This window comes from Homo sapiens, chromosome 11 (assembly GCF_000001405.40).
Source record: "Homo sapiens chromosome 11, GRCh38.p14 Primary Assembly".
In the NCBI taxonomy this organism is placed as follows: Eukaryota; Metazoa; Chordata; class Mammalia; order Primates; family Hominidae; genus Homo; species Homo sapiens.
This window is the reverse complement of record NC_000011.10, coordinates 130,866,250-130,888,899: the sequence shown is the minus strand read 5'-3', so window position 1 is coordinate 130,888,899 and position 22,650 is coordinate 130,866,250. Positions and strand designations below refer to the sequence as shown.

Genomic DNA, 22,650 nt, shown 5'->3' with positions numbered 1-22,650 from the left:
ATTAAAGTAGAATTGGCGACCAAAATAGAAATGAAAATAATAATAGAGCACGTAACCTATTTTAAAGTTTGTACATTTAAACCTGTACATGGCCTAGATGAATTATATCCCATGAAACTTAACAAATTTATATTTAACATTAAAGACCTAAGGTCATTAAGAAACATTGCCATTTGTCCATATGGGTTAGAGATGCACAGATATCTTGCCTTTTTAAAAAATGGTTAAAGGTTCTTGACCCCAACATTTATTTCTGGAAATTTCTGAAGCAGATGACGAAATAGATGTTTGTGAACATTTGGGAAGGGCAATGGGGAACCCTAGAAACCATTATGGGTTCAGTAGGAGTGTGCCCTGCCTGATTAGCATGCAGTTGTAGTTACATTGTGTATGGATTCCAACAAGTTTTTGCCATAATATCCATATGGACAGAATGGAATATGTTGCCTGCATTATAGTACATTTAAGTAATTTGTGGCTAGTCGAGTGTCTTTAGCCCAAGGGTATTAAATAATATCATAAACTGATGCCATCCTAGAGGGAAATTTCTAGTAATAGAGCACTGCTCTTCATCTTATCCTGATCAATTTTTTCATCAGAAAATTTGCAAGTAATTCTAATCTTAGAGGAGTAGTTAAAACTCTAGATGATGAAAATTAAGATTCAAAAACATTTAGAAAACTTAGAATGATAATCTAAAGCCAACAAGATGAACTATAATTTAGATTTTTTTTTAATTGCACAAATACAGAAGGGCAAGACTATACTTAACAGAGGGGCACACGATTTTTTTTTTTTTTGTAATGTACCTGTGTGGACTTAGGATTTTAGCTGGCTGAAAACTCAATATGAGTCAGTGCTTTTGACGTGTGTGCCAAAAAGCTAACACAATCTTCGGCTGTATGAGAAGTATAGTATCTAAATCTAAAGGAAGGCTCAATCCCCTATGTTCTTTGCTGGTCAGGTCACATCTCAGAGCTGTTTGGTTCTGGGCACATCATTTTAAAAGAAAAGCTAAGCAGCACACCCAGAGGATGGAGCCAGGTTGAGGAGTGGTTCATTTCTCTCCTTCTTTCATCAGACATTTATTGAGTGTCTTTGAGGTTGGCAAAATCACGGATGTATGGGATGTAGAAGAGACATAGGGGAGAAATAATAGCTGAATTTAAAAATGCAAAATGTTGTCTTTTGGAAGAGATTTAACCTAATATCTGGTAACTCCAGAGAGTAGAACTAGGACCAATGACTAGAATTCATTAACACAAGGAGGCCGATTTGGGTTGGCAAGGTTTAAGAAGCATCTTCAATGAATTTAGATTATGCTTTTAAGGAATTAAGCCACTTGCCTGAGGTCACATTGCTAATTGGGTAGCAGAACTAAGATAAAAGCCCAAGTTTCTGGATTCACAGGACCCAACCCTTGTCTATGCCGTTATATTACAGAGGAGGTTTCTGCTTTGGGAGGAGACTGGATAAAATAACCTCTAAGTTTCCTTCCAACTCTCAAGTTGTATGTTCTTATAAGCCACTTGATGTAAAATATTTCCTTTTGGTGCCCAATGCTTTCATATGTAGAGTTGGTGAGATTGGAAAAACCACTAAGGTTGAACAGATGATTTTTTGAAGTTCCTTCCTTAAGAATCCTTCCATTTTTTAATACATATTAATTTTATATCTGTGATGTGTACATTACTAATCAAAAACAAAAACTGTTTGTGGCTAGATATAAATGTATGGAACTCAGATTCTTATATTGTGGTATTTAGGAGAATGTCAAGTCTTCCCTTGAAGTACATGATTCAAAGATGTGGATCCATGATTTAAAACATGAAAGCAAAAATCAGAGAAGAAATTGTGCCAACTCTGAGCCATTTTAGATTTCACAGTAGTATTGGGAGAAAGAAGTGGTAGTTTCTTGCCCTCGGGGTTCATTTCCTCCTCATTCTTCCCCAGCACTGGGCAGGAAAGGATGGTGACCTAGATACACAGTCAGAGGGCAGCAGTGTTGAACTTTCTCAGACACAGCTGAGTAACTTGGGTCTGGATAGTTACAGGACAGAAGCCTAGAGCTGAGAGCTGACAGGGGAAACTGTCTATAAACACAAGAAGGGGCCATGGCAGGAAGACAGAGGCCTGGGAACGGCATCAGAGAGAAAAGAAGTATAACTTTTATCAGGTGTGAAATGGGCAAAAACATTTTGTTTAATGGATAATGTCCTGAATCTACACCATCACCTCCAAGACCTCCTTTCTCTCCCACCCTATAGATTGCTGCTACTGATTGGATGAGCCAATACTCATACTTATGTGCTAGGACTGGCAGTACAGAACACAGTGTTCATGGTTGAGGCCCCTGCAAACATTTTACAGGGTGCTTGGGTGGGTGGAGATGGGGAGCATTTCCAGGAAGCTAAAAATGTGGCTTGGGCTTCTCCTACTTTCTCTCGGAACTCCTAATTCTTGACACTGCATGAGTGTTTTTCAAACTTTTTTTAAAACTTCAACCTACAGTAAAAAATGCATTGTACGTTGCAGCCCACTGTGAGCATGCACATAGGCACAGGCGCATACACACATATGCATGCACGCAGATCTGATATATACATATATATGTACATACATACGAAACAAGTGTCTCCAAACATGAGATGCCTTTTTATGTTATCACAAACAACAAAACAGATGATATGACCTCTAATGATGTCCAGCCCACAGGTCGAAAAACATTGCGCTACAACCATGAGGTTTAAAATGACTGTGAAAGTAGCCTGATACAATTATATCCAAAAGTCCCTGGGTCTAAGGCAGTAATTCTCAACTGGAGCAATTTTGTCCTCAGGGGACATGCCGCAATGTTTGGAGACATGTTTGGTTGGCAAAACTAGCATCTAGTTTGAGGGGAGGAGGGGCAAGGATGTTGTGGAATGTTTTATAATGCACAGGAAAGCCCCTATGACAAAGATTTCGCAGTCCAAAATATCAGTAGTACCAACGTTGAAAACCCTGCTCTCAGGGTAATAAAATAAGTCAATACTTCTAATTTACTGAAGGTGTACTTAGGATGATAGAAGCTTTAACTTGATCTTCCTTTTCTTTCTCTTTTCCTTTGAACTGTATTTGGTATCTTAAGGTTGGAGCATAATTGCCCTTGGATTGTCTATAGAGGTACAGCCAATAGATAAATAGGCTGGAAGGAATGGACCTGTTATTTTCCTTATATTTAGACTGCACCAGGCATTTTTGTTTAGAATATTGTTGTGGATCTTATGAATATTTTCTGTTTTATGATTTTAGTATCTTCTTCCCTTTCTCCTCTTCATTAAGCCATACTGATTCAAGACCCTTTCTCACTCAGCCATAGCTGCTGTCTTAGAAAAGAAATGAAGGGGATTTGGCTAATTGGATTAGACATGGTCTCTAAAGCCTTCTCCTTACTCATGAGATTTGATTCTGCTGTTTTGATGGGAAATGACCTTCTACTAACCTTGAAGTGCCATCTTAAGCCCTAGTATTAAACTGTCTCCTTTTTAGTCATTGCTTCATTCCCCTATCTGCGGCTATTTCAGACCAGGTTCCCTTGAACATGGAGTGGATGTGCAGTCCCAGCTACTGACAAGCCCTGATCTCCACATCCTTTCTTCTCCCCTGTCTGGCATAAGGGAAGCTCTTGAATGTCTTGGGGTCAAAATGTGGTTGTGGAGTGGGGTTTTTTGGCCATTTTACTGGCTATTTCTAGGCCCCCTATTAAGGCTCTGAATCATTCAGAGATGGCTTGACACAAGAGACCTGGTTTGGGTTCTTTTTTCTTCTCTTCTTTGGGATGAAGGCAGGATAATAGAAAGAGATATCTCTAAATCAAATATCAGACCTGGAATAGTAGTGGAAAATAAAACCAGTGCTATCTGAGGCTATTCTCTACCATATTTATTTTAGCATATTTACTTCATGCATCTTGTATTACATGAACAAGAGCATTTGTATTTAGTAAATGATTTATTATAAGTAATTTTTTTTTTTTTTTTTTTTTTGAGATGGAGTCTCCCTCTGTCACCCAGGCTGGAGTACAGTGGCGTGATCTTGGCTCACTGCAGCCTCTGCCTCCTGGGTTCAAGCGAGTCTCCTGCCTCAGCCTCCCCGAGTAGCTGGAGACTACAGGCGTGCGCCACCGTGCCCAGCTAATTTTTTTTGTATTTTTAGTAGAGACGAGGCTTCACCATGTTGGCCAGGCTGGTCTAAACTCTTGACCTCAGGTGATCTGCCCGCCTCAGCCTTCCAAAGTGCTGGGATTACAGGTGTGAGCCACTATGCCCGGCCTATTATAAGTAATTTCTAATGAATAGTAAGAGAAACGTGTGTGTGTGTTGACCTTGAAGCTTTAGATTTCTGTCAGCCTAATAGTAAATGGTACCAGCAAAGTCCAGAAACTGATGCTGGAAAACCTCCTATGATGTATTAGAGTTCAGACACATAAATTCCATCCCTTCCACTTAAAGAGAGCTCTATAGGGTTACGAATCTCTTTTTAACCTTCCCACTCCTATGATAAGAATAGAAAGATGCAGTGTAGAAATCGCGAGATGAAGAGAGTTAATGGAGAGGAGTTGAGACTTCTGCCCCTTTTAACAATCCTACACCTAATGTCTTTGTCTTCCGTGCTCTAGCCAGTTTCCAAATAAATCAAGCATGATTAGGGGAGTTAATAAAGTTAGATAATGAAATGGTGGTGTGTATGGAGCTTTACCTTAGAGAAGGATGATAGAACCAAAGGAAGGGAAGGTAGGGATGAAAGGGAGAGGAAAGATATTTGGATGAAGAAATCTCCACCTTCTTCATTGCTCTCAAGAACCAGTGGCAGTTGGTTCCATCCAGGTGTTGGGCAAGGCAAAGTATACCAAATCCCTGAATATACAGCCATTTACAACTTAAGAAAGGCATAGTGAGTGATAATAAAGTGTGTCTTAGAAATTGAATTACAGCTTAAAAAATTTAGAGATTGTATTGTGTGAGGGCAGTGGCAGTTGTGGTGGTGATTTTTTTGGTTTGCTCTTTATCATGTTTTCCTTCCAGATTGGCGTGCTCATCATTTTTAACGAGACACCATCGCTCAGAAGTTCTGTGAACAAGAAAGATTTGTTGCACTTGGTCTTCTACACAGGCTGCCTGGGACTAGGAAATAAGACCATGCTGAGCCCAAAGGCCTAGGATAAAGCCTCTGTTTGCTGACAGGGGGAAGGGTGGGCAGAACGTAGGCAAGAGGAGAATCCAGGAAAGAGAGCAAATGTTTAAACCATGCGTGGTGCAAGTGTGTGGTTTGTGTCTTTTATCTTCAGAGTGTGGAGAAGAATAAGGAAAGCTGGCACTCTGCAGCTCCCAGGGACTAGAAGTCACTTTCCAAACTCTGTCCCTCTTTGTAGGCCTGGAGGGAGTTTATTTCTGCCAGTTTGTGAAAGTCCTGTTTCTTATATTCCTGGGCCTGACTTTTTCCAGGGCCTCCTGTTGGCCAGTTCTGTGCCTTGTATGTACAGTGCTTGACAGTGTCTTTGTCTCATCAGCAGCTGATACTTACTCAGAGATGGCACTCCTTTTCTTCGGTGAGTTGTGCTTATTAGCTTCCACAAATTTATTTGACTCATAGACTCATCTTCATCATCAGGTGCTTATTTTTACTTTTCCTACTTTTATGTCTCTCCCCAACATTTCCATTTAGAGTCTGAAAAGCTGTCTTATAGATTTGTATAAGTTTATAAATTTATATTTTGCCACATGATAAAATTCATTTTGCATCCCACACATGTACATGAGACACTTAATCACCATGCAAGAGAACAAGGAGGATATCCTTGTCCTAATGCCATGTGAGGTCCTGTCCCCATCAGATAAATTAATGTTCATTCAAAAGAATGTAACTCTTGCTTTGTAAGACATGCCAGAAGATGGCTGAGGTACCTAGGCTTGCTGGCATGTTACAACATGTTCAGTCTAGGAAGGATCATGTGGCTAAAGATTTTAGTTTGCAAGACTTTGCCCCTCTCCCTCAAGACAGTTAGATGAGACCCTAAGACACATCATTCTCCTCAGCAAAAATTGCAGAAGTATACATGGCTTGAGGTGAAGAAAGGAGACCTTGGGTCACTTAATCCCCTGCAGAGAAGCCGATCAGGTCATTGCAGCCACCTCCCTCTAGTGACCCTCTTACATAAACAGGAACAGGAATTCTTGCTACTGGATTCCTTTCATCAGGCATCTTAGGCTCACTGAATGAAAAGCCCTATAAAAAGGAGATGCGGCCCTAATAATAACAAATACGATCGTGTTGGCTATTTTGGACAAGAACAGCTTTGTGCCACTCTTGATCTCCATCGATGGCTGCCATTCTTGCCCTGCTATTACCTTACACACTTCCTATTCTTAGAATCAGTTGTGAGCCTTGGGCTTGGGGGATTGCAGCCCTCATGGCTGGAATGCCCAGCTTGAGTGGAATGCAGACTGTCTGGCAGAGTGGAGGTTAAATAAAGTTTGCCTTGGCAGCCCCCTCTGCTCTTGGATGAGTGACAAGTGACTCGAGTATAGGAGCGAGGAGTGATGGCATGAGCTGCCATGTGGTGCAGGATCAAACGAGTCTTCCGTGCATGAATAGAAGTGGTTGATTGTCCATCCATGACCCACACAGCTATGTCAGTCTTAAATGAGGTGGGTGAAGGGGAGGCCTCAACAGCCTTGAACCTCACTTCTGACCATATCACTTTGAAAAAAATTCAGGAACAGATCAAGAATAACGTTGAACCACTTTCTAGGTTTCCAGCTGAACTCCAGATTTGGTATATCTTCCCCCTCATTTTTGACTCATTTTTGAAAGTAAGATAAAGGGAAAATTTTGACTCATTTTCGAAAGTAAGACAAAGGGAAAATTTTTCATTGAAATAAGAACAGTTATCAGTCAGTCAACCATTTCTTGAGCACCAAGCACGGCGGGGAGTTTTTTTAAAGTACAAGACACAGAACTCTTACAGCTTATAATTTAGTTGAAGAAGTAAAGCTATAAACACCTTTAAAAAGATGCATATTCCAAAGTAATTGTTCCAGAGCTACCTGCCAAAGGAGGTCTATGGAGAAGGAGAGCACTTCCAGCTGTGATGGTCAAGGATTTCATGGAGGAAGTAGGGTTGAAACAGGTCTTGCCAGAAGGGCAGACTTGAGACTTGCTCTTCAGGCAAGGCGAGAAGAGGCCCTTGTTAGTGAGAGAACTATTATGAACAAAGGGCAGATGTAGGAAATCCCTAAGACAGTCATGAGGACCAGAAGATATGGCTGGGGAGGTAGAGAGAGGAATTTGTTTAAAGATCGCTAAGTCCGTAGCTGTGAAGTCTGTGTGTACATGTTACCAAGAAGGTTATAATGCTTCCCATCAGAGGAGAGCTAGAAAGATAATAGGTGCAGCCTTGCCAGAGGAGAGTTGGGAAGGTATAGGTGCAGGCTCACCCAGAGACGGAGGCCCTTTTAGTGTTCTGTTCTGTAAAACTTCTTGTACGGTAGATGGCACATAGTGAACGCTCCATAAATAACACGATTCTTATTGTTACTCATCTTCAAATTCTGTTATCCCAGGCTGTTGAATTGTCTTGGTTTCCTTTGCAAGAGTCAGTGCTGACTTTGTCCTGTTCTGATTGCTCATGTAATTCATGGTATCTTAGTCTGTTTGGGCTGCTATAACAAAATACCATAAACTGAATGGCTTATAAACAACAGAAATTTATTTCTCACAGTTTCTAAAGGCCGGGAGGTTCAAGATCAAGGTACCAGCAGAACTGGTGTCTGGCAAGGGCCCTTTTCCTTGTTCATAGACAGCTGTCTTCTCCCTGTGTCCTCATATGGCAAAAGGGGTGAGAAGTCTCTCTCAGGTTTCTTTTATAAGGGCATTTACCTTTGCCCCCATGACCTAATCACCTCCCCAAAGGCCCCACCTCCTACTGCCATCACCTTGAGGGTTAGGATTTTGACACACGAATCTGCAGGGGAACATAAACAGTCAGTCCGCTGCCTTGTTATTTCCTTTCCTTCAGCTTTATCTAAGCTTTCGTCTCTCTTCTACCACAGGTGGCTAGAGGTGCAGGTAGCTAATTTAACAAGTCCACAGCGCTGGGTGCAGTACCTCCTGCTTCTTCAGGAGTCCATCTGGCCTGGTGGAGTTTTGCCTAAGTTTCCACGGCCCGTAAGGACCCAAGAGCAGAAACTGGCTGCTGAGAAACAGGCTTTGCAGAGCCTGATGGGAGTCCTCCCAGGTAATTGGACCAATGAGATCAATTATACCAATCACATTTCTCTTCCATTCTGCTTTGCCACCATTACCCCTGCACCTTTTCCTGTTTGTAAAAGGGCCCTGAATGTGGCTAGATTCAAAACTCTGTTGACCCATCATTTCCCAGGCTAATAGGAAAATGAACAGGGCTGCAATTCTTTTATCCATTGCTCAGCTGATGCCAAGGGAATGGAAAGGAACTCTACAGCTGCACCCTAAATACTAGGTGACAATCCTGCAGATATTTAGGTTAATAACTTTCTCTCTACCTGCTGGCAGGTCTGGGGAAGCTCTGCCTGCAGGGACAGGTCTCAGAGCCATTTCCAGGAGATGAAGACTTCAGATTCTCTACCAATTCATAGCATTTTGGGACCAAGGAAGAAAATCACATGTCTCACAGAAGCTCCAACTTAATAAATTGCAGCCATTGAGTATGGTACATGGCCTTTAGCAATAAGTTAAAACAAAATCTGAGAAGGTTGTTTTTCCTTGCATTGTGTTTTTAGAGGGCCAGGAAGGCAGTTTGTTGCCTATGGCTGTGATAACCAGGAAACAATTGTGAACTTAGCTCTGGACAATCAGTTTTATTTACCCTTATTATTATAACTCTGTTTGCCAACCTAAACTGTTACATTGGAAGGAGTACCTGCATTTGAGTGACAGGTTACAAAATAATTTTTGAAGCCCATTCTTATGTAGACACCTAACTTGAGAAACATATTTTTCTCAGGTTTTTCCTGTTTTGTGAGGATTTTAGTTTGGCTGTATGGTTTAGAGGTAGGCCTGAAATACCTAACCTATGTAAAAACGGCAGAGATCCTGGGGAGAGACTGTCCTTAGAATCTAAAACTTCAGTGATAACACGCAAATTCCATCTGTTTTTTCCTCCTCAGATCTCGTAGTAGAAATTCTTGGGGTGAACAAATGCCGGCTGAGCTGGGGTCTAGTCCTGGAGTCACTACAACAACCCCTCATCAACAGGTAAGTGGGAAAATGTTATTCCAACATCAGCATAGTTACAGCCACCTCTGGTCTCAGAGGTATCCAAGGTTTCTGAGTGAAAAGCCCACATTCCAAAGAATAGGATTGTAGTCTTTACTTGCTCTGGGCACTGACTACAGAGTTTGACGTCCAGATCCACACACTCTAAGTAAAATCCACACCATCAGGCTTCTGAGCAGGTCGTCATGTGCTAGGAAATCACTCTTGGACCACCCACCATTTGTGTTTGGAAGAACTCTATGCAGGCCCCCACATGAGCTGCTGAAAATGACCTCTTATCCTCCAGGCTTGTTCAGCATACTTGCTCAGTGCTCTTTCCAACATCTGCCAGCCCCTGTGAATGCTCCAAGAGCGTACCCTGGCCTGTGTATCACAGACCATGTAAAGATGTTCACCATGAGCCCTGGCCTTATAGCAAAGCTGTGATTCATGTCAAGACCAGGAGTTGTCTTTGCTTCATATCAGGTAGACAAGATAGTAAGGTTGGAATTTCATAAAGGGACCAGAAATGCTGGGTGAAGAGTCCTAGAATAATCCAGAAGAGGTAGATTCCATCCCTTGGGCTGTTACTCTTCTGGAAGTATTGAGTAACCTTGCACTCAAACCCTACCCCAAAGTAGACTGTGTTCGTTAACTTCCTCAAGGATCCTGGCTTTACCTCACTGCCTGTAAGGCAGCCTATAAATTTAAGGTAATTAATTATGAGAAACAGCAGTAGTCAGGAGCTCTGAAAGTGTCTAGTAACCTGACATCTCAAGGATTTGTTATCACAGTTCTTCAGAGCAGTGCTAATGTAACTATGTAAAGAGAAATGGAATTTTATAAAACTTAGTCTTATATAAAACTAGTCTTATATAAAAACTGTTCTTGCCTTTATTAGGGTCAGAGGCTTTATTAGTTCAAAAAACATTAATTTCATGGCAGAGGTTTCATCAAGCTATTGAAGTTTAGGGTGTCGGTGATGGGGGAGGAGAAAATAAATGTCATAAACAGGATCTTGTGTTTCCTGATTGAGCCAGACCCTAAGTTTTTTGTCCATTCGTTTCAGGCATTTGATTTACTGCCTTGGGGACATCATCCTGGAATTCTTGGATCTCAGTGCCTCTGTTGAGGAGTCTGCTGCTACCACCTCTGCCTCAGATACCCCAGGCAACTCTAAGAGGATGGGTGTCTCCTCTTAGCTGGTTATTCACGCCTTCTTCCCAGGTCAGGGAAGTAGAGTTACTCGGCCACCAGAGACCAGTCAGGAAGCCCGTGCCCTCTTCAAGTAGGCTACAGCTAAGAAGGCCTAGGTTCTCGGTGGCTCACTTCTCTCCCACTTCTGCTCCATTTGTAGCAGGTGACAGGGGTCTGTGTGTCCCAGTTGTATGCACGTTTATTTCCCTGTTCCTTTTGTGATGTTGGGATTGTTGCTGGTGAGTAGATCCTGTTTCCTTTGGGAAAAGAAGCTGTGAGGTAGAGGAATGAACCCCTTTTGCTTCTCCTTTTGCCATCCTCCCTGAGATTGTTTGCCAGAATCCTGGCCCTGTGCACACATGTGCTTAATCCACCAGCACACAAGCTCTAGATAGAACAGGAAAAAAACTGTGGCCAGATTTCCTTGGAGGAGAAAACAACCTTCTCAGCTCTCTGTTCCTACCCGGAAACTAAAAATTCATTCAGGGCCATTCTCAAAAACCAGACTCCTGGGTCTAATCTAGTTTCCCAACAGTTCCAGAAGAAGAAGGAGGGAAGAAAATTTTTCAAGGAACTTCTTGCTCATGTGTTGCTGTTTCCCAACACATCAGCCTTATGGAAGATGTCATGAGGCTGCTTGCCTGGGAGGCTACACTTTCCTTTCCAGAAGACTTCAAAGCTGACTGCCAAAGCTTCTGGTAAATCCACCCCACCCTTCACACCCTTTCCTGAAAGGCATTTATACCACCCATTTTATTTATTGGCTTTGCTCCCAACCCCCTGCCCTAGAGCAATTGAGTTTTTGAATTTTTGACCCTCTCTCTGTCTTCAGCAAAACTGCATGACAAGCTGCATATTCAGCCTCAGTTTTTCCAAGGAGAATGGAAAGCACTTGCCTCCTGTCTTAAGAATGCACAAAGAGTAGGACTAGCAAGGCTGGGGGATGAAATCTCCCTTCCTAAGTCTTTGACAGAGAACTTTTATTATTCTGAACAGATAAGATTAGCAAACTTACAAGGAATAGCTTCTTATTTCCCATTCCTTACGGTTATAATCAGTCCTTTAACAACACCAGCATGAAGGCAAAGGTGTTTTGTCAGACTGCAACATCTATTAGAAAGGCAAGGCAACTGGGAATTGCTGGAGAAGGATAAATCAGGAGGAATTGCTGGTAGAAAAGGCTGCAGACAGTCACAGGGAAGTGCTGTATATTAAATGCATGTGAATAGCTGGCAAAAAGATGTCAAGGATGTCACTGGGAGCCCTTTGGCTTCACACTCGCCTGTTAGCGCCTTGCTTTCGCTGAATTACCAGAGCCTACCACTCGGAGGAAGGTCTTGGAGTTAGACTGATGAGAAGGCAATGGGGTGTCAAAAACAAGTGTCAAAGTTCTCTTAGATTCTGAAGTCGGTGATGAGCACACAATTAAAGTGGTTTGTGGAAGAAAGTTGTAAAATCTTTTTACTTTTTTGCCCCTCTGGAGGCTTTTAACCCTAAATTGTGTCTGATGTATTCGGGAGGCTTAGGTGTGCAATTCTTGCCCAAAGGCAAGGAGATGAATGAGATGTCTCATGGCCTCTTCTAGCCTTAAAAGTTGACCATTACAGTGACTTTATGGCTCCAAAGTTCTTGAAGCATCTCCAGCCCTAGACTTTGACAAGAAAAGGTAGCTCAGCATCTCTACTTTCCGTGAGTACCTGCAGGAGTCCAGCCAATGTATTAGAGCTGATCATTAAGCTCCTTCAGTGAGGGCTAAGATCCTATTCTCGATGAGCATAGGGGGACAGCCTTGTTTTATGCCACTTTTCTCTCCCCATACCTACCTTCCCCTCATGTGTACTTAGCCACCTGTGTTGCTTTGAATCTGCTGCCAGTTCTGGCTCAAATGTGGCACAAAATCAGTACATCAGACACACCATGAAATCCCTGTGGCTATAAATTCTAAGGAATCTTTTGACACTTCCAGCCCAAAGAACTTATTTTTATTTCGTATTATATAAGAGTCCCCACCTCTACTCCACGTACCCCAAAAAGATAAGCTGTCCTCAGATCCTCCTTCTACCCAGGAGGGAAATAATGGATATTGCCAAGGGAACAATCAGAACTCATCTGGCTTTGAAAACGACCTGCCAAGTTTGGCTAGCAGGTTCAGACAACAAGAGAGTAACAATTGGTAGAGAGCCACAGGTAGAAAAGATACTCCCAGCTGACAGGGTGATAAAAGGCAGGGAAGAATTGGGCCTGTGCTGATCCAGGAAGGTTTTATTGTTTGCTTGTTTTTTGTATTTACTCGTGACTAAATTTTATTCATTTAAGTCAGAATTTTGATATTTGAAATAAGACTACTTTCCCTTTTCTTACTATCTATAAAAAAGACGAGGCAGGGATGCTGTGTTCTTTCTGTCAAATTCTAAATGTGATCTTTGCCATTGCTTATTTGAATTCAAGAAAGCTATACTTTTTCATCACATATAACTCACAGTTTCATTTTTGCATTGTTGGATTAGACTTAATAAAACCTAAATGGAAAATAAATTCCTAAATCTGAGCCTAGGAGCATGTATAAATTTTATTTTTATTATTATTATACATTAAGTTCTAGGGAACATGTGCACAACATGCAGGTTTGTTGCATATGTATACATGTGCCGTGTTGGTGTGCTGCACCCGTTAACTCGTCATTTACATTAGGTATATCTCCTGATGCTATCCCTTCCCCCTCCCCCGACCTCACAACAGGCCCCAGTGTGTGATGTTCACCTTCCTGTGTCCAAGTGTTCTCATTGTTCAATTCCCACCTATGAGTGAGAGCATGTATAAATTTTAAAATCAATACAAGCTACTCCAATTTCCATTTTGGAAATTTCCAGTTTACAAGGTGATTTTCTTATTGTTGTAAAGAAACACATAATGTGAGATCTACCCTCTTAAGTGTACAGTACATTATTTATTTATTTTGAGACGGTACATTATTAACTAGAAGCAGCACAGTGCTTTGTAGCAGACTGCTACAAGTTTTTCATCTTGCATAACCAAAAGTTTATACCCATTGAACAGCCACTCCTCGTTTCCCCTCCCACCAGCCTCTGGCAATCACTGTTCTACTTTCTGCTTCTGTGAGTTTGACTACTTTGAACGCCTCATATAAGTGGAATCATGCAGTGTTTGTCCTTTGACTGGCTTATTTCACTTAGCATAATGTCCTCCAGGTTCATCCACGTTACAGCATGTGACAGAATTTTCTTTTTAAGGCTGAAAACATTCCATTGTATGGCTATGCCACATTTTCTTTGTTCATTCATTGAGGGACATTTAGGTTGGCTCCGCGCCTTGATTGTTGAAAACAATGCTGCAGTGAACATGGGAGTGTGACTGTTTCTTCGAGGCCCTGCTTTTAATTATTTTAGATAAATACCCAGAAGTAGGATTGCTGGATCATATATTGTTCTGTTTTTAATTCTTTGAAGACCTTCATACTGTTTTCCATAGTGACTAGACCATTTTACATTCCCACCAACAATGTACAAGGGTTCCAGTTTCTCCACATCCTCTCCAACACTTGTAATGTTTTGTTTTTTCATAATGGCATCTTAAAAGGTATTAGGTGATATTACTATCTCATGGTTTTGATTTGCATAGCCTAGAACATTTTTGAGTCTTCCTGTGTCCTACCCAGGTTATTCATTTCCAGCTACTGCTCTTCCTTTGCTCATAGCACACAACACCAGTTGTTAGGTCCTGGAGGAAGTAAAAATATGTGTAACTATGGTCCCTGGCTATATGAATCAGGATGCTCTGGACAAGAATTAAATTATGAGGAAAATTTATTTTATTTCATAACATTAGTACGTGAGTAGGTAAGCCCAGGAGTTTGGTGATTCAGCAACTCTGAGACCTCTTAAGGGGCCTGAATTCTTTCCATCTTTCTTCCTTGCCATTCTAATTAGGTCAGCTGTGCTCTCAGACTGCCTGCCTTCCTGCTGCTGCAGTTTCAGGCATCACACCCAGAGATAACATTCATAAAAGAACAGGAGCATCTCTTCTGTGTTTTCTTCTAAGGAATGAAGGAACCATTTCCCAGAAGTCCTTCAAGAATCCTCTTCTAGGCCGGGCACAGCGGCTCACACCTATAATCTCAACACTTTGGGAGGCCAAGGTTGGGGGATTGTTTGAGTCCAGGAGTTTAAGACCAGCCTGGAACATAGCAAGACCCTGTCTCTACAAAAAATATAAAAAATGAGCGGGGCATGGTGGCTCTCGCCTGTGGTTCCACCTACTAGGGAGGCTGAGGCAGGAGGATCACTTGAGCCCAGGAATTTGAGGCTGCAGTGAGCTACGATCACACCACTGCATTCTAGCCTTAAGTGACAGAGTGAGACCCCAAATAAAAAAAAAAAAAACAAAAAACCTCTTATGACTCATTGGCTAGAACCACCCACCTCATGCCAATCCACTGACACTGAGAATGGCATTGTGATTGGCTTTCAATAGTATTTTCCCCCAGAGATGAGGTCATCTTCCATGAAGGTCAGATATCTACAGAAATAATTGATGTTAGCAAGGAAGAAGCAGAGAATGGGTATTGATAGACAATGTCTGCTCTAGGGATGGGTCATTCTGCCAACATTCAGCAGATCCCCTATCTACTCCCAAAATGCCTGGTACCAGCTAATAGTTAACATCTTCTGAGAGCATTACTTAAAGTCTTTACATATCTTCACTTATTTAACCCACAAATCAACCCTTAAAGGTAGGTTCTGATGTAGTGGGTTGGTGCAAAAGTAATTGGAGTTTTGCCATTTTAATGCAATTACTTTTGCACCAATCTAATATATCCCCATTTTCTAGGTGGGGAACATGAGGCACAGAGTGGTTATGTCTTACCCACAGTCATTTGCAAGGGAGTGGCAGAGCCTAGATACAAACCATGTCAATCTGCCTCTGAGTCTACGTAGTATATCCACTATACTAAACTGCCCTTCTACCTTACAAAGCAGAACAAGATCAGGTTCTCACTTTTAAGGAGTCTACAGTCTAGTATAGGAGCCAGCAAACTTTCTCTGTAAAGGTCTGGAGACTAAATACTAGGTTTTGCAGCAGTATGGTCTCTGTTGTAACTACTCAGCTTTTCCACTGTAGCGTAAAAACAGTTGTAGACAATTCATAAACAAGTGTGGCTGTGTTCCAATAAAACTTGATTTACAAAAATAGGCAGCTGGCCGGGTTTGTCCCATGAGTCAGTTTGTGGACCTGCGGTCTAGTGAGTTAGAATACTGCTTACCAAATTTTAATGTGTGTGTGATTCACGTGGGATCGGGTTAAAATGCAAATTTTGATTCAATAGGTCCGGAGTGAGGCCTAGTAAAAGTGTAAGTGCTATGCTCTAAAAATGTTGACAGCATGATTATCACACTCCTCTGCTGTTTGAGGGGCAGGGAGCATTTGGAGATGCCTTGTTTCAGGAACCCATTCAGCCAAGTTGTCCTGGCAAGCCGTACCTCCCACAGCCCCCTCCACACCGGCTGTTTGTCCAATCTAACTTTGCACTGGAGCAAGATGTGTTTTCCCAGGATGAGGAAAGGAAGGTTAGCCCACACTGCTGGATGTGGAAGGGGATGGGAACCAGGGAAAGAATGGTAACTGGGGAGGAAGGGAAACCATGATACTTTTGTAGTCGAAGGCCTAACTGGGCGCACTCTGCCATAACTTGGCCCCTCTGCTTCCTTTCCACTGGGAGTGCCAGAAATCACAGGGCAGCAGTCGCTCACCCTGCCTTTGTAGACAAGAAAATGAAACCATCGAAGGGTGAATTTCAGCTAGCATATTGCCATCACTCTTTTATGGTATAAAGGATGAGAGAGGCGGTGAGGGAGACATTGCCCCAAACATGATGTCCACATCCTAAGACTTACCTGATATTTCTTATTACACAAAGACAACATTGACTGGTTTAAGAGAGAAAAAAAAAAAGGAAATCCAGAAGAATGTTTTAATTGTCAAGCGTGAAACAAGTGAAAATCATCAGAATCTTTTTCCTTCTGTGACTTGGTAGCAACAGTGTGTAAAGCCAAGGCCACCGTGAAGCGGTGGGGGAAATTTGGGCACCCGCAGACCTTGGCAGACACACTATGCTATTTTCAGACTTGCGGAGCCTTTGCACTGCCTCCCTGTCATCCTCACCTGTCTCTGGTCTGAAAGTCCATTTTAACTCTGCTTTCTTGGAGGCAGAAACAAGCATGTGACAGGATGCAGAGAATTACTCCTGGCTTTGATGTCTCTTCAACAGCTTGATGAAACCTGGTTTTTCCACCTGTCTTCACTTCTCCAAGCCTTACCTGCAAGCGCTTCCGTGAAAGCCCCCAGCACACCATCTCTGGGATGTGGAAGCTTAGGAGGGGAGAATTAAAAAAACAAAACGAAGGTAACAGTAATCAAGATCCAAACTTAGAAAACATTTCTTGAAGTGACATTATCTGCTCCTTTTAACCCAATCCCTTTGTCACCAGTCAGTGTTTGTTTAGGAAGTGTAAGCTAATTTTAATATTAAAGTGTTGTAGTGATTAAGAAGGTAAGTTTGTGAATAATGTATGAATCATCCACACTTTTGTCTTTTTTCCCACCTTATGTTCCATGTTACTGCTGCACCCTGTTATAAGCAAAGAAGAGTTGGCTGTGATTACTTCCAGAAACTTTGATTAACCCATGAGAGTAAAGATGTAGCTAGATAAACACAGAACTCCCTGATTGCAGACAAAAGGACTCAAATGTCGACAGAAGCAATGGCTTGTTTATACTGTGTTGAACTGGATTTGGTGACTTGTGAGCATAGGTAATCAGCCCTTTTGCCCGTGCCCCTGGGTGAAGAATCATCCTGCTCCTGTAACTATCAAAAAGATTAACCATGAACGTTGATATGAAATACTGCTTTTCATACCTTGACACCAAGAAGAATAGACCTTATTAAGGGAGGAAAAACACTTTTGGAGTTTACCTCCTTTACACATCCTGCTTGCATGGAATCCAAATTCAGTGAGCTGACGGCAGGCCAGTTCCTTGCCACTTTATGCAGTTGTGTTTAAAGTTTACCCTCTGTTATCTATAAATGCAAGTGGCTTTTTCAAGAATAGTGAGGGCAGCTTTCATTAAGGACTCATGCATCTCTAGGAGAATCACATGGGCTTAGTTGGCAGTAGAGCATTTTCTTGGGGACAGAATGTATTATAGATGGTTTAGGCAGGAGGTTAGACGAGAAACTTCCAAAAAAATCTAGGGATTTTTTATTCTGCCCAAACCAGCATGTTCCTTCCTGCTTTCATTTTTTTGTTCATGTCCTTCCTTCCACGTGGTAGATTACCTTCTCTTCTCCAGCTGGGCAAGTAGGCTACCTCTGCCCATAAGGACCAATTCAAGTTCCATTTTCAAGAAGCACTGTCTGATTGCACCAGCCAAAACTCTTCCCACTTTCTTTTCAGTTATTTACACTGCCTCTCTAGTCAATGTGCATGTATATGAAGTCCTCAGTAAGAGACTATAATTCTTCAAGGGCAACGAACATATCTTTTATCTTTTTTAGTCCTATTATGTCCTTATGCCCCCCCCCCAACTATATGTATATACCTAGTGCATGATAGGTACAAAATAAATATTAAAGTTTACTTAATTAAAGATTATGTTTATTTAAGAGGCAAAATTTGTGAATAAGTCTGGATCTTGATACTGTTACTTTCATTTTGTTGATTCCTTTCTCCCAACCTTCCACATCCCAGAGACAGGGTGCTGGTGACTTTTATGGAAAGGCTTGAAGGGTGAAGATATGTGGAGAAACCACCGTAAACCTCTTTGAGATTAACCACTTATTCCAGTGGAGGGCACTGGCTAGTCTGTACCAGACCTGCCCCAGACAGCTTTGTACATCTTGCGTGTGGGTGGGAACCCAAAAAGTTTCCTTTTCAGTGGATCTGTTTAGGTGAGGTAAAGAAATCCATTACTCAAATGTTTCATCAGAGGCTACCCCCTGTTCAGGTGTGCACCCTGCACCCATGTGGGTTTGCGGATGGCATATAACACTTGCAGCAGCAGAGCTCGTTGCCACACATCCAAGGGAAGTAAGTGTGCATATGTGGATGCGGCGGGAATACCTGCGGTCTTTCTGCTGAAGAGCAGGGTTATACACCTCCTTTTAGCAATCTGGAGAGGACTGAGGCAAGAGCTTGTATTGAAACACAAGCAAGCTCCACGTATGGTTTTGGACATGGAAGAAAGAGTACTGTTGGGGTGGAATGACCTAAGTTTTTAATAGGATTAGGATTTCTGTGGATTTTTCCCAAGTGATAGAAGTTTTCTTCATCTAGCAGGGAGCCTCACCCAATTGCTTCTCTATGTTCATTTCTGAAACTCCTTTGTTAAAACTAAATAGCAACAGAGAAGAAACTTTCTTCAAAAAACTCTTCATATCTGTCATTTCTCCTATTCTTATGGAACTTCACAATTGCTTTTTCTTTATTCCTTTTTTTTTTTCTATATCAGCTCATCAGTCTTTGTGGGTGACTTGGCTACCCCACTAATCTAATTGCCTTTTTGATAGTTAAATCAATATGGACATCAACTTAAGGCTATATGTGAACCTTAAATGCATGATATTCCCTATACTTGATTCCACAATTGATATTCTGTGAGGAAAGTTGGCCAGATATTCCCTTCTGTGAAGTCAGAATAACTACCGACCCTAAGAATAAACATTTTGACCAATTCTTTATATGTTGCAAACTATTCACACAACTAGAAAGTTTAGCCATTCACATCTCTTCCCCTGATTTTAAGTCCCAGATTCTGAGACTCAGAAAGTTTAGTGACTTGTTGAGCTTTCTGTGGAAAATCTGTTGTAAAAACAGTTCAGACATTGGAAAATATAAAATAGCCCCTAGAGATCCCAATAAAGCTTCCTCTCCCCAAATCCCTCTACAAGTTTATCCTCGAAAAACTTTCTGAAAACTGATGAGAAAATACTGAGTAATTAATGCTCAAATGGGAAAGATGACATGTAAAAGCAAAAACCTGTTAATGGCATCTGTTCATATAGTTCCATGTGCCTTTTTACTTAACTGCACTGATAGGCAATGTAATGAAGAAGTTTCCTTTTAAAACGTAAAATGTAATTAAACAGAGTTTATCTTAAATTGGCTGGACCCGCACAGCTTGACTGAGACATACACAGCTGTCTTCATTTTGAAGCACCTACACTAGTCAAGCTTCTTTCTAACCCGCCCTTAGGGTTTGCCTGTTGGTCTGTCTTCCCTACTGGGCTGTTAATCCCTTGGAGGCAGATTGTCTTGTTTCCCAGAGTTTTTCCAGCATATACCATGGCAGACAATTTTCACCTTATCTATTCTAACTCGTAAGCCTCAGCTAGTGCCTCCATCCTCGGGTGCATAGCCCAGTGACAGGCATGTAACAGACTTTGCCTACAAGCAGTTGCTGATCCATAAATGACGTTGGCAACCTTCTTGTGGCAGTGAGTAACATATTTCTTTCCTCCTGATAGGCTTGGAATCCTCATCCCCATCTGGCAATTTTCTTTCCATCTTTCCTACACTCACAATGGAGCCCACACGCCTCACAACCCCCTTGACTAAACCAGATGACAGCAAGAATGCCTAGTTCCAAGTGAGCAAGGGTGAAGCCTTAGGCCCTTGTCTCCTCCAGACCTCCTCTCTGCTCTAAGAGTATACTGGGCATGGGGTGTGGTCGGGGGGTTGGGGGCGGAGGAGTACTTAACCTCAAACTGAGAAAAAGGGTGTCCTGAGCAAGTTTCATAGCGTAGCAGCTTCCATTTGAAATGTGAAGCTTTGAAGGCCTGTTGCTACAGTAACCAGCTAGCTCCTGACTCCAATGCCTGTCTAATCTAAGGTGGAAATGTCCCAGAAACAGACCCCAGGCTGGCAGCTCTTAACTATGACCCATCTCATAAGCACATATCCAGCTGTAGCCTCTTGGTTGCTGGGGTGAAGGGGCCTCTGTATCGCCACAGGAAAAAAAATCTGATAAATTACGGGCTCAAGAAGGGTGTTGCTTTTTTTTCCACTAACAGACTTTGCAACCCAGTTCCTGGTGAAAGGGCTCCGCACCCACCCGTTTTGTGTGTATAATGCTGAGCTAAAGTGGGAAGGAGCAGTAACACCAAAGGAGGCTAATTCTCTTCCTGTCAGTAGGAGAGAGTGTCTGCCCCCAGTGTGTGAAAAGGGAAGGCATGAGAAGTGAAAAATCAGCCTTCTGGAAGCACCTTCTTACCACGAGAAAACAGGTGATTCTTACTATCTTTGAGACTCATCCAGATTGTGTCTGTTTAACTCTTCAGGCAATATGAAGGCAGAGAAGCCATTTCAGAGAAGAGATTTTTTAAAAAATCATTTCGTTCTTTGGCATTGTCACAGGATTATGATGTGGGTTCTCATAAAAATTTCACTCCCCCCAAAGCCACCCAAAGGAAAGGCAGTGAAATGGGGAGGAACACACATTTGCCTGGCATCGCAAGAGCTGCCTTGTAGTCATGGGTTCCAGTGATCTTGGACCGATCTCTTCACTTCCCTGGACCTCAGTTTCTTCCATACAAAGAAGTTGAACTGGATCATAGAAAAGATGCTGTCCAGCTTGGTAATATCAGATAGGGAGCAGAAGCTGTCTCTTAGCACATGGCCAGATTCCGGAACAACGATGATGGTCTCCATGTTTGTCCTAAAAATGCATCTCATCTCAGTAGAGATTTTCTTCCACCTCATTTGGGTCTCAATTTAAGGAAGGAAGAAAGGAAAGAAACCCGGGGATTCTCTTCTTGAAAGGAATATACTTCACTTTCTCTAGGCTTCTAGGATAAAAACTTCCTATCCTTCATTTTTCCTCTTTAAACCTGCCAAAATCAAGTTGAGTAAAGATACCATACAGATATGAAAAAGAAGCCACATCCTTAAATTTTCATGGAGTCCAAGAGCCTGCTCACCGCCAGTTAGCTTTTCCCAGGATGGTGGTGGCACTGATCATCTAGGTTGCACTTTTATGTTCATGTCCCAGAGCGTTTCCCATCAGCCATCTCATTTCATCTTTTCATCATTCCTCTGAGGAAAAGACTTCACACATGTATAGGACTTTCTATATCACAAAGTATTTCATATCCAATGTCTTATTTAGATCTTGACAATCACTGTTTAAGGTAATTTGGCAAGTTATTAATACTCATGTCCTCATTTTACTGAAGAGGAAACTGAAATGCAGAGAGCTTGTCTTTTGCCCAGGATCACTCACCCAGTTTATTGGGAGGCAGCAGCACGGGGATTAAGAACATGGGTTATGCCGACAACCAACCAGGCAGAATTCCAGCTCTGTCAGTAGTTAGCTGTCTGGCCTTAGGAAAGGGATTTCACACCTCTGTGGCTTAGTTTCCTTGTCCATTAAATGCTCATAAGAATAGAGCTTTCCTCACAGAGATTGGGTGGGCACGGGAGCTAAATGAGCTCATACGTTTAAGAACAACCTCTAGCACACAGTGCATAATAAATGTCATTATTATTAGCAAAGCCAGGACCTGGGTCTTCCAGCTTCTAGCTCAGTGGCATTTCTGCTGCCCCACACCAGGACTATCCTTCGTATACAGGTATGAACCTAAAGCCTTCAGTGTTTCAATGAAAAGTTCACCCAAGGTCTTTCTGTTCAGTAAGTCTAGAGCTAAGGGCTCCTGGCACTCTGTTCAGTCCTTTCGCTGGTAAACCACGCTGCCCTCCGTTGCTCTGGGCAGAATGTCAAACCTTCTTATGTTTTTAAAATTTATAAATCAAGCACTCTTATTTAATATTACTGACAGCCCGAAGGCAGACGCTCCCACTCTCCTGGGGAAGAGGGTCTTCTAATCTGCCATCTTAAGGAGGTAAAAGGGCTTGATTGGGTAACTCATTGCAATGGGCACGTATTTATTACTGTCTCCCGGCCTTTTCTCATGCTGTTTGTCTGCTGGAATTACCACTAGTGCCAGGCCATTTGAATATTTGACCATTTGTCTTAGAATTCTCTGAATACAAATGTTTTTCATACCTTTACTATGTACTTTTTAAGAATGAAGACTATGTTGCATGTTGGTTTGTACTCTCTCCTGCACATAAAAAATGCTTAGTAAATAGATACACAAATGTT

The 22,650-nt window shown here is 42.0% G+C and overlaps 1 protein-coding gene across 13 annotated transcripts in view, besides 1 other annotated feature; it reads left to right on the top strand.

Annotated features, from left to right (window-relative positions):
• The window catches only part of SNX19 (sorting nexin 19), a 50,230-nt gene extending 27,580 nt beyond the window's left edge, over positions 1-22,650 (top strand). For 9 of the 13 annotated variants that reach the window (NR_144939.2, NM_001347924.2, NM_001347927.2 and 6 more), the window contains 3 exons: positions 8,094-8,278; positions 9,189-9,276; positions 10,346-22,650. Coding sequence is in view for 11 of the 13 variants with exons in the window: in NM_001347924.2 (NP_001334853.1) it covers positions 8,094-8,278; positions 9,189-9,276; positions 10,346-10,478 (406 nt within the window). In the remaining 2 variants the exon portion in view is untranslated. The other 4 variants (NM_001347926.2, NM_001347919.2, NM_001347920.2 and 1 more) reach the window with 3 other exon arrangements.
• Positions 16,378-17,577: an enhancer, noted in NCBI's record as "BRD4-independent group 4 enhancer chr11:130741218-130742417 (GRCh37/hg19 assembly coordinates)". NCBI's record gives its function as "activates an origin of replication core promoter dependent on BRD2, P300/CBP, MED14 and CDK7 cofactors, and independent of BRD4, by STARR-seq in HCT116 cells {active_cell/tissue: HCT116}" and the evidence as "EXISTENCE:reporter gene assay evidence [ECO:0000049][PMID:35650434]".